Source organism: Homo sapiens, chromosome 16, assembly GCF_000001405.40.
Source record: "Homo sapiens chromosome 16, GRCh38.p14 Primary Assembly".
NCBI lineage: Eukaryota > Metazoa > Chordata > Mammalia > Primates > Hominidae > Homo > Homo sapiens.
This window is the reverse complement of record NC_000016.10, coordinates 71,239,839-71,258,249: the sequence shown is the minus strand read 5'-3', so window position 1 is coordinate 71,258,249 and position 18,411 is coordinate 71,239,839. Positions and strand designations below refer to the sequence as shown.

The following is an 18,411-nucleotide window of genomic DNA, read 5'->3' as shown; positions in this document are numbered from 1 at the left end:
AACCTGGAACCTTTTGTTATGTTCAGGAAGGAAGAAAACCATTGACTGCCAGAGTTGTGGTGAATGGAACAGGAACAATTACGAGAATCAAAAAGAATAATCACTGCAATTGACTGAAGCATATCAAACATAAAAATATCTGAGCTCATTATGATACGTTAGAAAACTGTCATTCTAAATTTCTATGGTACCAACTCATTACTCTGGAAATTAATGAAGGTTCAGAATCAAGAATTTATTCTGTTTTTTTCTATATGAACTCTATTCAGGGAAAAATAGCTGATGAGGCAAGTTATTCTTTGTATTTGTATTTTTATTTTTTCTTTTTCTGATTTTGAAAGTTACTGAAGATGTCAGGGTAGAGCATAAGAAACTACTTTTTTCCTCCTGGGCCATTTGAGAGTCAGTTACCAACCTGATGCCCATCACTCCTGAACACTTCAGTGTGCATTTCCTACAAACAAGGACACTCTTAGATAACCATGGTCCAATCAGTAAAATTAGGAAATTTAACACTGTTAAGCCAGTTGTTCCAATAACATCCTTTGTAGCAAAAGGATCCTTTTCTTGCAATCATGTGGTGCATTTATTTCCTAAGTTTCTTTAGTCTTTTTCATTCTGGAATAGTTTCTTAATCTCTGACTTTCATGACCTTGGCACTTTTGATGATTACAGGTCAGTTACTTTGTAGACTGTCCTTCAACTTGGATTTGTTTGATGCTTCCTTGTGATGAGATTCAGGTCGTGCAGTTTTGGAAGGAATATCACAGAACTGAAGCTGTGTTGTTCCTTTTGCATCTTATTATCCCATGAAACATTGTTTTGGTGTGTCCCATCTCTGATGAGGTTCACTTTGATCACTTGATTAAGGCAGTGCCTGTCAGCCTTCTTCACTGTGAAGTTTCTCTTCTCTTTGTAACTAACAAGTATTTTATGAGGAGATACTTTGAAAATATTTAAATATCCTGTTCCTCGTCAAACATTCATTTTATTCATTTATTTATATCAGTTGGACTCCTGGATTCTCATTTTATTCAATGAGTTGTAGATAATTTGTTACTATCATCATTGATTTTGATGCTCACATTTCTCAGATTAGAAATGTCAGCCCTCCATCAATCTGGCTTCTGTGTCCACTTGGCACACCCCATCTTTCTTTGAGTGCATGAGTGCATCCTTGCTTTCTGGCTCAGCATGTTCAGGCATATCTGGTGTTCTCTTTACTCCAACTCTTGAAACAGACATTTCTCCAAGGACTTCTGATTCCTTTTAGTAAAGAATAGTATTTAGAAACCAAGATCAGGTGTCATTACCGTTAGGGCATTATTGCTCCCAGCCCCTTTTACACTCCTAGTGGATAGAACTAGAGAAAAATATGTAAGTGTGTATGAGTGTGTGTGAGTGTGTGTGTATGTAATGCAATGAGTGAACCTTGTGTGTATTCTGGTTCAAATGAACCAGTTGTAAAAACACATTTTGAGAGAGTTGGGGGAAGTTTATATGAACTGAGAATTAGATGATATCAAGGACTTGTTAATTTTGTTATACGTGACAAAGTCATTGTAGTCATGTTAAAAAAAAAAGAAGTCCTTATCTGAGAGAGGCAGCTGACATATTTACAAGTGAACTCTACCTTCAAGTGGGGTAAGTGAGATACAGGTGGAATATAGAAAGGACTATCTAATTTATTATTCCATATCTATATATATACACACACACATACATACACACATATTGTATGTATAGATATAAAATGTGAGATTAAACTTGAGCTTATTATACGTTATATATATATATAATGTGAGATTAAACTTGAGCTTATTTTACAAGTATCTGAAGTCTCAGCGCTTTACATGCAATGTTTGAACTCATTTAAACCAAAAGCTTCCTGTTGAAAGTAAACTTGAATCACAAGCCCCATTTTATAAGACCCAGAAAGGCTTTGATATGTCTGGAGTAGAAGACTTGTCTCCTGACCTTGAGTTTAGTGCATAATATACATCTTATCTCAAAGATAGAGTTGATAATTTGTACTGTCATAATGTATTCTTGGCTTTGGTTCAGGTTATGTGACATTAAAAGATTACTTAGGACCAAATGCAAAACCTTTCATAATCCTGTCTGTGAACTGTTGCTGGTTTGAGCACAGGGGCCGATATAGACATAAGGACATCTGTCCCTCACTGGGCAGGGGAGCTGGCCTCTAGCCTCTACAGCTGTTCCCTGCTGGAGCGGCCATAGTTCAGCAGTGCTTATTAACATTTTGAGCAGCTGTGGCAGCAAGCAGTTTGGTACAAAACAATCCATCAATTAATCTCTTTGTTATTGGACAGTTCAGACGCTTGTGCCTTGGTTAATGCTGTAAAAGGGTTGAGAAGGGTGTGACTCTTGTCTGTTACAGACAGTGACCCCACAGGAAGCTCCAGAGCCCGGAGAAGAGTGACAGTGTCAGGAGGTGGCGAGACAAATAGTGTGTGGGTTGTACACAACTCGCTCAACCCTGGCTGGCTGTGGCTTTGTCTCCCACCCTAGGAAGCATATTAGAATGGCAGCAAGGAGACAGCCAACCTCAGCTCCTCTTTATAAAGAAAAGTAAATTATTGGAAAACTTTAATACTTGGAGCATTGCTAACAAACTCTTGTCAGAATATCATGGTTCAGAGGCACTGTTCTAGTGGAATACTTTTAATAAAGAAAAGAAATGAAAAACAATCTCTACACACTTCCACAGAATTGTCCAGAGGCCCGACTCTTGCCAATGCTGAAAAATCCCTTGGAAATCTTCAGCTTTGCACTTAATTACCACCTCCTTTGGCTGTCTCTCTTTTACTGCTTTTCTCTCCTTCCCCTGTGATTCCCTTCTTGTTGCCAAACACACTTTCTCTTCCAGACACCATCTGCTTTCAGAATACATTTGCACTTTTTTTTCCTACCCAAAGTGGCCCTACTCTAGGGCCTATGTTTTCCCCTTTCTGGACTGCTGCTGTTGTGTTAGCGCCTGGGTTGGTGGGAAGCACAGCTGTGGCTTGCAGAATTGAAATATAGTTGGGAACCCAACAGAGACATTGTTTTCTGGCCTGGCAGTATGATTTATGTTCCTGGTGCCCCCATCCTCTTAAGAATCTCAGGGCTCAGGGATTGGTTTGTGGTATGTCTTTAAATGTATTTTGTTTGTTACACAAATTCAAAGAATTCCTAAGCATATAAAGGAGGAAGTGAAAGTAATTCTCTGCAACACCAGTCACTTTCCCCAGAGGTAAGTGACACGCATAGAGACCCTAGTGACTGTTCTCCAGTGTCATGCATGGCCTTCGGTCTTTTTGGTATGCATGTATCAAAATGTGTAATATAAATACATAGAAATGGGATCATGCCATATATACACCTGCAACTTGCTTATTATTACTTTAAATAAATATCCTGGGCATCTTTTCATGTCAGTATACGTACATTTTCTCATTACATTTAACAGCTGGTATTCCACAGTGTGCATATATATGGCTTATTTACTCAGTCCATTGCTGATACATATTGTTTCCAATTTCTCATTATTATTACCAATGTCTAGCACATTTATCTTTATACATGTACAACTGTATCTGTAGGAGAGTTGGAATGGCTGCGTCGAAGGGTATGGTATAGGAATTTTAAACATTGGTAGATAATGTCCTAAACTTTATATCTAATCACTAAAGCATTTTCTCCCTGAAATTATCAGAAATTATATGGGATAAGTGATAACTGAAGTGTAAAGTGTAAGGTATTTTACAAAGTATTTTTGTTCAATTTATTTAACACTGACAGGTATTCTGTAAGGGAGTGTTATGGACTGAATGTTTGTGTCCCACTCACCCCCCAAATTAATAGGTTGAGATGGTGGTATTAGGAGTGGTATTAGGAGGAGGGTCCTTTGGAAGGTGATTAAGTTATGAGAGTGGAGCCTTATAAATGGGATTAATGCCCTTGTGAAAGAAACCTCAGAGAGTTCCCTCACCCCAGTGAGAAGATGGACATCTATGAACCAAGAAGTGGGCCCCCACCAGACACCAAACCTGCTGTAACTTTGGTCTTGGACTTCCCAACCTCCATGACTATGAAAAATAGATGTTTGTTGTGTAAGCTGCGCAGTCCATGGTATTTTGTTATAGCTGTCCGAACGAGCAGTCATTGAGGGAGGCAATGTTATCTCCAATTTACAGGTGAAGAAATTGAAGCTCACTGAGATTAAGTGATTTTCCCAAAATAACATAGCCCAGAGCCCAGAAGCAGCAGAGCTGAGCTAAGCTCCAGGCCCTCTTCTCCATTTTTTCTTTTTTTTCTTTTTTTTTTCTTTTTGAGGCAGAGTCTCACTCTGTTGCCCAGGCTGGAGCACAGTGGCTCAATCTCTGCTTACTGCAGCCTCCACCTCCTGGGTTCAAGCAATTCTTATGCCTCAGTCTCCTGAGTAGTTGGGATTACAGGCACACGCTACCACGCCTGGCTAATTTATACATATATATGTGTGTATATATATATGTGTATATATTTATGTGTATATACACATATATATACATATACACACACACGCACATATATATACATATGTATATATATATACACATATATACATATGTATATATATACACATATATACATATGTATATATACATATATACATATGTATATATACATATGTATATATACATATATACATATATACACATATATACATATATACATATATATACATATGTATATATATACACATATATATACATGTATATATCTATATGTATATATATATCTATATATATATATATATATATATTTTTTTTTTTTTTTTTTTTTTTTGGTAGAGATGGGGCTTTGTCATGTTGGCCAGGCTGGTCTTGAATTCCTGACCTCAAGTGATCTGCCTGCCTTGGCCTCCCAAAGCGCTGGGATTACAGGCATAACCACCGTGTCTGGCCCTCCAGGCCCTCTTCTGTCTCCAAACCTGAGATTCCTTGTCCTGTACCTACTGCCTCCCCATGAACGTGCACTGAGCCTTCTGCTGTGATGGATCCATTGAACGTAGGTAGAGAGGCTATGGAGGGACTATTGGCCAGCAAACTTCATCCTAGGTAGCACAGCCATGGCCATACAGACATTTCTCTCTCTGCTGTCACTTCCTTAGTGATCTCATCTGGTCATAGCTTTGAATACCACTGATATATCAGTGACTCCCAAACTTCTATTTTCAGCTTAGGACTCTCTCCTTAACATATCCTATGCTGAACTTTTGATCTTTCATCCTCAACCTGCTCTACCTATAGCCTTCACCATCTCAGTGGGTTACTTAATTCTTCAGGCCTGAATCCTTGATTCCTTTCAATCATATACCTCATTGATAGGGAATACGCCCAAGCCCATACTGCCAGGTGTGAACTGAAATCCAGGCATGTCTTTCTGTAAAGCACACCTAGGTTATACTGCCTTATTCTAACCCCTTATTCTAACTGAAAATAGAATTCTGACCCAATCCCTGAAATGTGTCCTCTAATTTGGGAGTCAATGGGCTGAGTGAATGTTTAGTGATGAGATCACATTCTTAATAAATTTATTTCTACTGGTTTCTAGGACTACAAAAATCCAGAGTCTGAGTTAAACATATTGAAGACATAATTTAATTGTAGCTGATCTCAGTGGACCCAGTATCTTGAAAGCACACAAATCTTCCCTAGATCAGTTCTTCCACATTGCATGCAAATGAGGTAGGGGAAGAATGGCAGAGGGAGAAAAATGGAAGGGAGGTAATGAGTCTGGGAAAGGAGCCTCTTGCAATTTTTTACTTTTTTTATTTTTTGAGACAGAGTCTTGCTCTATCGCCCAGGATGGAGTGCAGTTGCCCAATCTTGACTCACTGCAACCTCCACCTCTCAGGTTCAAGTGATTCTCGTGCTTCAGCCTCCTGAGTAGCTGGGATTACAGGTGCGTACCACCAGGCCGGCTAATTTTGTATTTTTAGCAGGGACAGGATTTCGCCATGTTGGCCAGGCTGGTCTTGAACTCCTGACCCCAAATGATCTGCCTGCCTCGGCCTCCCAAAGTCCTGGCAATACAGGCGTGAACTATTGTGCCTGGCCTGCCTCTTGCTATTTATTCTTTCTCTCTCAAAAGAATCAAGGTCAGAAGGAATGTCTTTCCATGGAAAGGCTGCTGAGTTGGGGGGTTTGGACAGGAGCCGGCAAAGCCATGGCTCCTTCTCAATGCACAAAGGAAAGAAAACTCTTAAGTAAACTGTGGTGAAACTGAAATTCTGGACCAGGAGGGGGATTTCACTTGTCATGACGCACTTAGCATCTGAGCATATACTTTTGGTATTTGTGTTTCTGTATATATGTTCGTGTGTCGAACGTTGTCAAACCCAGAAACCAAAAGTTGAACAGTCTAGGTGCCATTTTAATTATAATTCAGTTATCAACTGGACGTCCTTGGTCCTAAGAAATTTAGATAAAACTCAAACCTTCAATTGTACATTCTGGCTAAAATCTGCCTGGGACAGAGGGGTTTCCTGAGTTGTGAGACTCTCAAGGCTAACACTGGAAAAATCCTGGACAAACTGTGACAAGTTGGTCACCCTGAGCTTATCTGAAGCCAGAGCCCTCACCACTATTTTCGCTCATTCTGAACAGCTTAATTTTTTTCTGCCCCCTTCTTTGTGGCTCCCATATTCAGGCTTTCTTAAATTCTACCTCTGGGGGACCTGCATGCAAAGCTGAATTCCTTCATGGTTTTTGCAAAGGATTCACTCTCACTCTGCATTTAACGAAGTAAGCAGCTTTCTAGGAGACTTAAGGGGGTCGCAGATTCCACTGAACAGCCTTTAATCATCCATTCCATTTCTCACTATTCCTCTTTTTCTTTCTCCTCCCTTCAATCTTTGTTGCAATCAGGAAATTTGTTCTCTATCTTATCTGGAGTATTCCTGCCCCGCAAGGTCCCTGGTAGCAGGGGTCCTCACGTTTTATTTCATGAGGAGATTATACCAAGAAGTCTTCCCAACAAAGTTGGGTCTCACTAAAAGGAATTCTTAACCCAGTGACTGAGATAATAAAATCATGTTTATTACATAAGATAATGAAGACTATTTTATATACACATGGATATAAATTTTTGACCTAGTTTGGGAATTATTAAGCTGGCTTCCTTTTCTCCCTTTCACAAAGATTGTGTAAGATGTAACTCCACCCCCAATTACACAATGCTGGTTATTTTCTTTTCTCATGGAGTTTACCAGTGGGAGCTAAACTGAGGGTACAGCTTAACCTGTCTTCTTGTTTTGGGGACAAGGAATTTTCCTCAGAGGTCCATGGTTTGATGCATTAACAAACCCCTCAGGATACTGGCTCTGCAAGGGGAATTGTGTGTGCATCCTAAAAATCAAGTGATGCATCTTTCCTAACAGAAGGCATTAAAGATTCAAGTCAGACTTGGATAAGAGGCCCTAATAATGAGAAAGTTGTCAAAGCCATTCATCAGGAAGAAGCTAGAGGGAGTGGGGCCAGATAGATGAGATTCCAGGAGGTTTCTGGGGGAGGATCCTTTCTGCTTCTCTTGGAGGTGACACATCTGTGAAGCGGGGGAACCTGTTTGGGGTGCCGGTCAGAAGTTTCACCTGGCTTTCGCTTCCTATTATTCAGCATGTCTGCACTCTGGGAGAGGCGATGTGTGTTATTTACAGAGAAATAAACCAGGAGAAGAGGGAGGCATAGGGAAACGCACACATGGATGATAATGGTAGGCCAAGAAAGTTTAACATTTGAAAACCTTCCCCAAGTCTCTGCCCATGTCCCCATTTGAAAAAGCTGAGTTTCACTGATCAGAGAACAACAGTACTAATGATAATAGCTAACATTTGTTGAATGCTAACTGTGTGCCAACACTGTGTTTAGTCCACACATGAAAAGATGTTCAACTTGATTGGTCACCAGGGAAATGTGAATTGCAACCACAATATGATAGCTCTACAGATGCACTAGAATGGCTAAAATGAAAACATCAGAAAAATACTAAGTGTTGGTAAAGATGTGGAGCAACTGAATTCTCATACACTGCTAGTTTGGATTTAAATGGGAACAACCACTTTGGAAAACTTGCTGGCAGTATCCACTAAAGCTGATACCTCTGATCCAGAAATTGTAAATGTATGTTCACCAAAAGATGAGTACAAGAATTTTCATAGCACCACTCTATTTGTAATAGCTCCAAACTGGAGACAGTCCCAATCTTCATCAACAGTAGAATGGATAAATAAATCATAGTCTATTTGTAACATGAACTATTACATAGCAATGAGAATGAATGAACTCTAACTACACGTGACACTATGGATGAGTCTCACTCCTTATAGTAACCCTATGAAGCAGTTCCTATGATTACTCCCATTTTACTGATAAGGGAAGCTGCTTACTTCATTAAATGCATAGTGAGAGTGAATATTTTGCAGAAATCCATAAAGGAATTAAGCTTTGCATGCAGGTCCCCCAGAGGTAGAAATAGGAAGGCCTGACTATAGGAGCTACAAAAGAGGGCACAGAAAAAATTAAGCTGTTTGGAATGAGCAAAAACGGTAGTGAGGGCTCTGGGTTCCTCATTTGTAAACTGGGAAGTGCAGTAGCTAGGATTCAAACCCTGGCTATTGAGCTCCAACCCTTCACCAGGATGCACCACTGCCCCCTAGGCCTCTACTCATACAAGCAGCCTGTGTTTGGTATGTGTGTGGGGGGTAGAAGTAGTGCAGGCTGACTTTGCAAAAGGCATCTATCAGCTAACTTTGACTACCATGTGTTAGGCTTTGTATATTAACATTACTTAGAGCATAAGGTTTAATCCTCACAACAGCCCTTTGCAGTGGGTTCTGTCAACATGCCCATTTCTACAAAAGGGAAAACAGATGCAGAGAGGTAAAGTCAGTCATCTGAGGTTGTATGACCTTAGCTACCTCTCTGCATCTAGTGTGTGATAGAGCCAGGATTCAAAGTAAGCCTTCCCCATCCCGCTACCTGGCTCTTCGCAGCACCAATAGGACAGCAAAGCCATGGGGCCACAGTGCCAACAGGAACCATCGTACCAGATCACAGGGCTTGAGTTCCTCGAGCTGTCCCTTGACAACAACAATGGAGATTTGAGGCTAAACCCTTGAGGTTTCATGAGGCCACCTGGCTTCTGAGCAAACTCTCTGCCATAGGTTTTCTTCACTGTTTTCAAGAGAAGAGGAAACGGGCATGTCCATGGCGCTGTCTATGTCTTCTTGGAAACAAAAAAGACTGTTAATCAGTCCTCTCTACAGCTTCTCAGCTTCAAAATTGGAAGCTATGTCGAAGTGCTCCTGGAAAAGCTGCTTTCTAGCAGTTCTGCCTGCTAGAAAGGGCCCCTTCTAGCAGGCAGAACAGAGAGGACTTGTACTGGAGAGAAAAAGTTACCTAGCATATGGTGGGCATGTGCGTGGAATTCCCCAGTGAGCTCTGGAATGGGCACGGGCCTGTACCTTGGGGCTCTCGAATAAGAAGCCTGGGCCCTACCAACGTCTGGCTTCTGCTGCTCAAGAAACAGATGCTAGGCCTTCCTGCATTGCCAAGAGCAGAGGCCTTTGGGGACTCAAGTTTGTTTGGCTTGAATGTGTTGGTGGAGAAATGAGAAGGTAGGAGTGAGGGCATCTTTTAACATTATCCCATGATTGTAGAGCTTCATCCTCTCCAGCCTTAATTATGACAGTAGCCTCCTACCTGGTCTCCCTGATTTCAGCCCTTCTTCTCCCTAACAGACCTTTCTCACAGCTCCCAGGTTGTGAATCCCTTGCCGGATGCTCCAGCTGCCACTTACCCAAGCACATGATGCTGTTGAATGTCGTTGTGTTTTGCAAATGTTGAATCATCTGCCTACAGTACCTTTCCCACTCAACGTGGCAAGAACCTACTTATTTTTGGAGGCCCAGTTCACAAGCTTTTTCTTTGGTGTTGCCTTCTCTCACCACCCTCCTGGGTAGAGTTCATTGTTCCTGTCTTAGCACTTCCAAAACACTCTTTTTCTTTTTAACACAGAACATCCTGGCTCTAGCAATGTACTGTAATTATTCGCCATCCTGTCTGTAGAGTAGACTGTGAGCTCCTTATGGGCAGCAGACATGGCGCATTCACACATTTATCCTCATATCCCTAATATCTAACAGTACCCAGCTTGCCCAGGAGGTGAGTGTTTGCTGGATGAAATCCAAAGGCCCAGCAATCACACGCCCACCCAGCCACTCACCCCCTCCCCCTGCCACGCACACAGGGTGCAGTGGCTCATGCCTGTCTGTAATCCCAACACTTTGGGAGGCTAAGGCAGGAAGATTGCTTGAGCCCCAGGGTTTGAGACCAGCCTGGGCAACATAGTGAGACCTCATCTACACACACACACACACACACACACACACACATACACACAGAGAACAAACAAGCAAACAAACTCAAAGGCACAGTTTTGAAGTATGAATTCATAGTACCTTTGCAGCTCCAACTCGGCCATTGAAAAAAACATGTCCTTCTCAGGCTGGCTTTCCCCTCCACAGTCACATGACTACGTCACTCATACATGCCCCTTCTGGCCATTTCAACATCAGTACAAGAAACTGTAGCTTTTACGCAAGGCAACGAGTTGCTTTCGGCCATCTCAGCTTTCTCATCCAGGTAGGTGGTCGTTATCAGTGATGTGGTCTAATCTGTAATGGAGTAATTGCACATGGGGAACAAGAGCTTATTTAATCGGTGTCCCCCAACTCCCATGATGGGTTACTGATATCAAAAGGTGTTTTTTGTTTGTTTGTTTGTTTTTAGATGGAGTCTTGCTCTGTACCCCAGGCTGGAGTGCAGAGGCGCGATCTTGGCTCACTGCAACCTCCGCCTCCTGGGTTCAAGCAATTCTCTGCCTCAGCCTCCCGAATAGCTGGGATTACAGGCGCATACCACCATGCCCAGCTAATTTTTGTATTTTTAGTAGAGACAGGGTTTCACCATCTTGGCCAGGCTGGTCTTGAACTCCTGACCTCGTGATCCACCCACTTCGGCCTCCCAAAGTGCTGGGATTACAGGCATGAGCCACCACGCCCGGCCACAAAAGTTTTTAAAATGGCTGGGAATGGGGGCTCACATGTATAATCCCAGCAGTCTGGGAGGACAAGGCAGGAGGACCAGTTGAGGCCAACCCGGGAAACACAGTGAGACCACATCGCCACAGAAAAATGTTAAAATTATTCAGACGTGGTGGCATGCACCTGTAGTCCCAGCAACTCAGGAGGCCGAGGCGGGAGGATGACTTGTCCCTGGGAGATCAAGGCTGCAGTGAGCTGTGATGGTGCCACTGCACTCCAGCCTGGGCAACAGAGCAAGACTTTGTCCCCAAAAAGAAAAAAATATCAACTAACCAAACAAACAAAACTTTAGTAAGCAAGCCTCCCACCCCTCTTTATAAGGGGGTTTTTACAGAGTTCTCATAGGTTCTCCCCAAACCCCACTCTCCAGTTTCTCCTAGTATTAACATTTTACATTACTATGATACATTTGTTGCAATTAATGAACCAATACTGATGCATTATTATTAATTAAAGTTTACAATGTATTCAGATTTCCTTAGTTTTTACTTAATATCTGACCTTCTCTATTCAAGGATCCCCTCCAGGGTCCCACATTGCATTCAGCCATCCTGTCCCCTTTGGCTCCTCTCTCATCTGACAGTTTCTCAGACTTTTCTTGCTGACCTTGACAATTTTAAGGGGTTCTGGTCAAGGGTATTATAGGGTGCCCCTCTATTGGACTGTTTCTGTTGTTTTTCACATAATTAAACTGGGGTTATGGGTTTGGGGGAGGAAGATCATAGAGGTAAAGTAGTATTGTCATCCCATCATATCAAAGGAGTAAGTAAATTGTTTAAAAAGTGAGAGTATGATCGTTTTTCCCTCTTCCTCAAACCTGTGTTTCCTCCTATAGTTGCTGTTTCTATTAATGGCCTCATCACACACACAGTCATGAAGGCTAGAAATTGCATCTACTCTTTCTTCTCCATCCTCCATCCACCTAGTCAATTTCTAAGAAGCCATTGCCCCAGAGCTTCCATATTCCCCCCTTCTCTTATCCATACTGCCTCTGGTTAACCCCGTATTATTTTTTCCATAAATGATTACCATAGCCCCAACTGGTTTGCCAGGTTCCACTTCCCTACCTCTCCATTTTATTCTTCTTAGTAGTTTCAACTTACTAGTGGTTTAATACCAACTCCATCTTCATAAATCTTAGAATGGTTTTCTGTCACATACAGAATAATGTTCCAACTTCTCAGTATGGAATTCAACCTCTTCAGATGCTAGCTCCAGATGACTTTGTGGTAAACACTAGTTCCCTTAATCTATAATTAATGGGCTATAGGCATTTAATTAGCTGAAAAAGAAGTTGGCATTTTCTTAAATTGTTTTCTCCAGAAGAGTTAATGAAACTATGTGTATATTTGTGTGTGTGCATACATGCACATGCGTGTACAATGTGTAGACCTCACTGGGGATGCATATCTCTCTCCAGGTACCCATGGCCCAAAGGGTGGTGAACACACCCTGCCCACTTGCTGCATCGTTTGTATCAAGTTTAGAAAAGCTGAGAAGATGGTAAGGAGAAAATATACTTGCCCAGAAGTGTGTGTGTGGATGTTCAACAAGATCCCAACTCATTTTTTCTTTTTTAGTGGCTTAAAACAAGAGCACCTTTTATCTCCTGGTTGCTGTGGGTCAGGAATCCCCTGCACAGCGCGGCTGGTTCCCCTGGCTGAGGGCCATTCACAAGATCCTTCATTGAGGTATTGACTTCTCCATTCATTTTTGCACTTCAATCACAAACACTTCTTAAAATTAATTGGCCAAACCTCAGCTTCTTGAAACTTATATAATGCAGAGAGCCTCTGTCACATTCTGGGAATGGCATTTAAATGCAAATTGAATTCCTTCTTTCATGGGATAGCCAGTTGTCTATGTCACAGGATGTAAAAATAATTCATCATGCTTGATTGTGTAATACGGCTGTCCTATATTATACTTTAATGACAAAATTAATTGGCTTTCAGATTCCATCTGTCGCTATTCACATAAATCCACAATCTTCGTTATTAAAATTTAAAAGTGCATGAGGAATTTGTGAAATTCTCATAGGCAGCCTGCTGGAGAACGTGGGAACAGTCTAGACCAGGGACCCCTTTTGTTATACGCTACCCAACAATAGATGAAGAGAAGGGCTGACCCAGGTGGGGAAACCAGAGTGGAGAGAATAGGAGCCATGGGTCCAAGAGCACTCATAGGCAAGAGCTTGGATCAGTTACTGGATTAATTAATCAGGAAGATGAATGCTGTCTTTACATATTTATGAAGACTGAGCTCTTACCAGCTCAATGAAGCTGTGCTATGGGAAAAGGCAGAGACTGTGCAGAAATAGTCACCACTGATTTGGAAACTGTTTCATTTCCTGAGCTAATAACCAAACTCATTCCTCAGAGAGGAACAAAAACTGTTATTCTGGGGTGGGAAAACATCTATGGATCATCTGATACAAGCAGCAGCTGTAACCAAACCACTGGTATTGTCACCCTCTTTGGGAGTCCCATTTATTCATGGTAGAGAAGGTTTCAGTCTTCCATGGCTCTTGATAACTCTGGCAGTTACAGTTGCCAGTAGCGTAAGTTAAGACTGTTTATTAAGGGTTTTGTGGCAGGGTGCAGACATTGATATAGACCAAATTGGTCAGAAAGACGAAGAACACACAGAAAAACATGGCCTGTATTCCACTTTATGTGGATTTAGGTTTGTGTCCTCATCTTTACCTCGGCTCTCAAGAGGTATGCATGAGCATGGGTGTGCGTGCGCGTGCACACACACACACACACATCAGCCACTGTGTTCTTCCACTAGACTTCAATTTTGCCCTCATTAATGGAACCACTAAGAATATTTTGAAATGCTTTTTTTTTCTTTCTTTCTTTCTTTTTTTTTTTGCTGTTTTATTTGCGGCATGACTACTTTTCTTAGTGCAGATAGGCAATATTTAACAAACAGTCTGCAACATTGCTATTATTCTGTTTTAATTTTTGTTTCTCCTTTTTTTTGGTTCTATTCCTGTATGGGGGAGTTCTTTTTCTTTTTTTTTTTAAATCGTAACATAATTTTAGATTTTGCCTTGTTCATTCCCCACCAAAAGTCAGTCCTTCAGTTTTCAAAGTCATCATCATCTCTGGAGGGTCAAGAGCTAGGACTAAATCAGATCACGGTCATCACTGGCTGCCATTAACCCCTCTGATATATCCATCTGCTTTTCTAATGAGGCCAGAGGCCTGACGACTCATCAAAGCCTCAGGCTTGGTCTTAATGGGAGGATAAGGGTAATGGGGTGCTTTTAAGTTTGACTTTCTTGTTTCCTCCTAATATCCATCCCAGTCCATTTATGAAAGATCACTGACTCCGTGTCAGCCAATTTCTGGCCCCCACATGATTGTCACCACATCTGGATAATGAATCTGCAGACAGCCATGCATCCCTCTGTCGGCACAGGGCAAGATTGCCAGGTGGGAACTTTGTAATTTATAAAATGCCTTCATGTCCATGACCTCCCTCGAACTTACAAACATTTTGGAATGGGAAAGGCAGGTATGATTAGACTTATTTCATAGACTTCAGAACTAATATTCAGAGAGGACAAGTGATGTGCCTGAAACGACTTGGTTAGTAACTAGCAGAGCAGGACTTGAAGGTCTAGGACTCCTTCCATTACAACATGGCTTTTGGGGCAGGGCCTATCTCTTAATAATCTTTGTATTCTCAGTGCCTTTTACAGCATCTGGACCCAGAAATATTCAAATAACACTGGCTGGATGAATAAATGAATGAAAGATTCCTCTGATAACCCAGGATTTCCCCTTGAGGTACCTACAGAAATCTTAAACTTTTCAAAATGTGCTTTCATAAACCATAAAGGCCCACAGAAAAGAAATTATGTATTGTGATTCTTCTTCCTTTTCCTCTAGGCTGAAGACGGACCAGAACCCACAGTGTGCCTGTTTGTGCAGGAGTGAGTGCAATCTCCCAGAACAGAACACTCCCACACTTGCTGTTGCCTTTGCCCATCAGTGCGGCCTGGTCCCTTTAATTCAGTTGTGGAGAGTGACTCAGGAAATGAATCTTTCTCTAGAGTGCTTTGCTCATCTTTTCATCTCAGTTCTTGATGACCCTTTCCCTAGTGACTTTTCTTAACTATTTCTCTTTTCTGTTAATGAGGGAAGACCAAGTGTCTTGGGACTCCCATTGGGTTCCACTTAAAAGACAGGCCTGGTGCTCAGCCTCGTGTGGGACAGGGCTGTGTCCAATAAGTTATAAGCAGCTCCACTAATCAGGCTGTTAGAGTCCTCCTGTGGCCTCGAGGCTTTCCTGGGCGTGAAGTGTTATTTAAAGATAAGAAAATGTGGAGTAGGCTGGCCTTTGGACCTGTGGACTGCAAATGCCATTCTGTCTTCCCCTACTAAATAATGCTGGGATTTGGTCAAGTCCTTGATCCTGTTTCTCCACCTTTAAACTGGAACTAACCTCACTTGCCCTGCATTACTTCCCAAAGTGAGTTGTAAGGATGACCTACTTTATGATGACAGCTATAAATGGGATGGAAATAAGGATGAATTTCTCAGGAAGTGTGGCCAAGGTGCTATTATAGAGACTGTCCCCCTTCAGATCTAGTCTAGCTGGATAATACATAACTGAGGATTTTCCTCTCTGTGCCCACACAGGTATGTGGCATATCTGATATGGCCTTGAATGCCCAGTATCTGGGGATGTTTGCTCACATGAATGAAGGAACGAGTTCTCGCATCTTCCTCTCTATTTCTGTAACAGGGATACCGTAATTATCAGAGGAATATTCTTACATAGGCTCAAACATTTCCTTCTTCTCGTCTAGGTCATCTTGTCTGGGCATTTCACAAATCCTTCCTCAGTTTTCCAGAAAAAGAAAAGTGAAGCAGATATGTCTCAACCACTTCCCTCTAGACTCAAAGCAGTAGCCCATCACTCATTTCCCCTTTGTGCAGTGCTTAATGTTTTTTGTTTGCTTGTTTGTTTTTGCTTTCCAGACTTTTGTTCTTGTCTGTAAGATTAAATTTTATCTGAAATTGTCATCTTCACCATGGGTGAGCCCTGATGAGCTGCTTACAGATATGTCACACTCTCCCTGCAAATCTGAAAGCCTCACCCCTTCTTTCCTCTGTGCTGGTGAGCTCTAACTTGTTCACCATCAGTCCTCAGTGCCTGGTATGGAGAAAGTGCTCGCTGAATAGCACTGAAGATGTCAAGTAAATAAATGGAGGGGGCTGAGGGCTTTCAGTGGCCTCACAGTAGTTGGCACAATCTGCTCTAAAACTAAAATCAAATATAATATTTGATGAATCAGTCAGAGAACATTTTGGAAGTGAATCACAATTTTACTGGTGGCCACCTCAATGGCCACTTCAAGTTCAACCTCCCCTGAAGTCTTCCTGATAACTCCAGCCAACCATGGTCTTTCCTTTCTTAACCACTCTTGTGTTTACTGATTTTTATTTTTTATTTTTTTGAGACAGGGTCTTGTTCTGTCGCCCAGGCTGGAATGCAGTGATGCAGTCTTGGCTCACTGCAACCTCTGCCTCCCAGATTCAAACAATTCTCGCACCTCAGCTTCCCAAGAAGCTGGGATTACAGGCATGCACAATTACACTTGGTTAATTTTTGTATTTTTTGTAGAGACAGGGTTTCGCCATGTTGGCCAGGCTGGTCTTGAACCCCTGGCCTCAAGCAATCCACCCGCCTCAGCCTCCCAAAGTGCTGGGATTACAGACAAGAGTCACTGCGCCTGGCCTATTGAATGTTTTTGTGGGTTATCACAATGTTATTCATTCTGCAATATATTGTCTATTAATATTTGCATGTCTGTGTGCCTCCTCTCCCCTTGATTATAAATTCTATCCAGGGGCTAATTCAGATTTTGGAGGGTTTGAAGCTTATATAATTCTGGGGGGAAAAAAGATAGTGCATCTCTAATTGTATGTACTACAGTATCAAGTATTTTCCTAACAGAAAACAACTTTGCCTTTGCCTGGGTGTTGGAAAGATCAAATCCTCTTGCTGCATTTGTACACATCTGATCCTTGATTGGAAGAATTTTTGACAGCCTAGCTTCTAGTTCCACTCTCTTTTAACCTTAGGTCTTCTCAGCCAGGTGCTTCCAGTTCCAGAACCCTATGGCACAGTCACAGCATGAATCAATCCAGGATCCTGGATGTTCGTGTCTACTGCTCTTTACATTTTGTCCCAGGGCCACATCAGACACAGTAAGTGTCTGGTGTCTCCTTTTGACAAGTGTTTCTCTCTGGCTGTCCTCTTGACTGTTAATCTCTGGCAGTATACTCTTGTTGGCAGTCCTTAGATTTGCATTTTTAGGAAGTCCAAAGTGGAATAAAATCTGCTTTTAAACTTTCTTCCAACCAGACATAGTCCATATTGACTAATAGGACATAAAGTAAGATATATTTTCCCTCTGTAAGCAAGAGACTGGGTAATTAAACATGGTACCCATAGCTCCTGTTCCTAGGCCCTTGTGGGAGTATTATAATTAGTCTTTTCATTGTTGAACTTGAGTCTGATGTTCTAGCAGGATAAGTCCAGTTCTACGGATTGAATGAACATAAATCATTGATAGCAGAGGGGTGGGTGTGGAAGGATGGAGTGCAACAAAGAACAGACGGTGTTGGGAGAAACTGGAGGTTGTGTTATCTTGATTAAGAGATTAGATGTGAGTCGGACAGACCTAAGTCCTGCCTCTTAAAACCTAGGTGATTTGAGGTAAGTCATGTATGCTTTCTGAGCCTTAGTTCTTCATTTGTGAAATGAAGAGAATAACCCCATGAGGTTGTGAGGATTCATGAGCATAAAGCTCTTAGCACAGACCCATCTAGTAAGCACTTCAGAAGTGTTGGATATCATTTCTTTACTTCTAACATTTCTCTCTCTTCTAGGTCTGTCTAGATATCTAGATAGCTGATGTCTTTGGTTGTGTTCACCTTCTCCCAGAATTCAACCTCTTTAGCTGTTTTCTAAAGACAACTCTTTTTGACCTCTGGGCCAGAGCTTAGTCATTTTCTGCTCCTACTTGCCTAAAAGAAGTGTCTTGTGCCTAAAAGAAGTGTCTTGTGCCTAATAACCCCTCCCATTCATTTAGCAGTCTGTCGTTTACAAAGTCTTCAAAACGCCCCATGGGGGATTGTGTCACCTTGCGCCCACTGGCCTCTGCCTTCCTGTCCTCGCTCCTCAAGCTCCTGCTCAGCAAGGAGGCTCTATGCTGGGGGCTCCTGGTCTGTGAGGCT

General features: G+C 41.9%; 1 annotated feature.

The window, feature by feature from the left end:
• Positions 2,229–2,465: a silencer, noted in NCBI's record as "fragment chr16:71289688-71289924 (GRCh37/hg19 assembly coordinates)". NCBI's record gives its function as "represses an EF-1alpha promoter that drives an FKBP-Casp9 reporter gene in an ReSE screen in HepG2 liver carcinoma cells {active_cell/tissue: HepG2}" and the evidence as "EXISTENCE:reporter gene assay evidence [ECO:0000049][PMID:32094911]".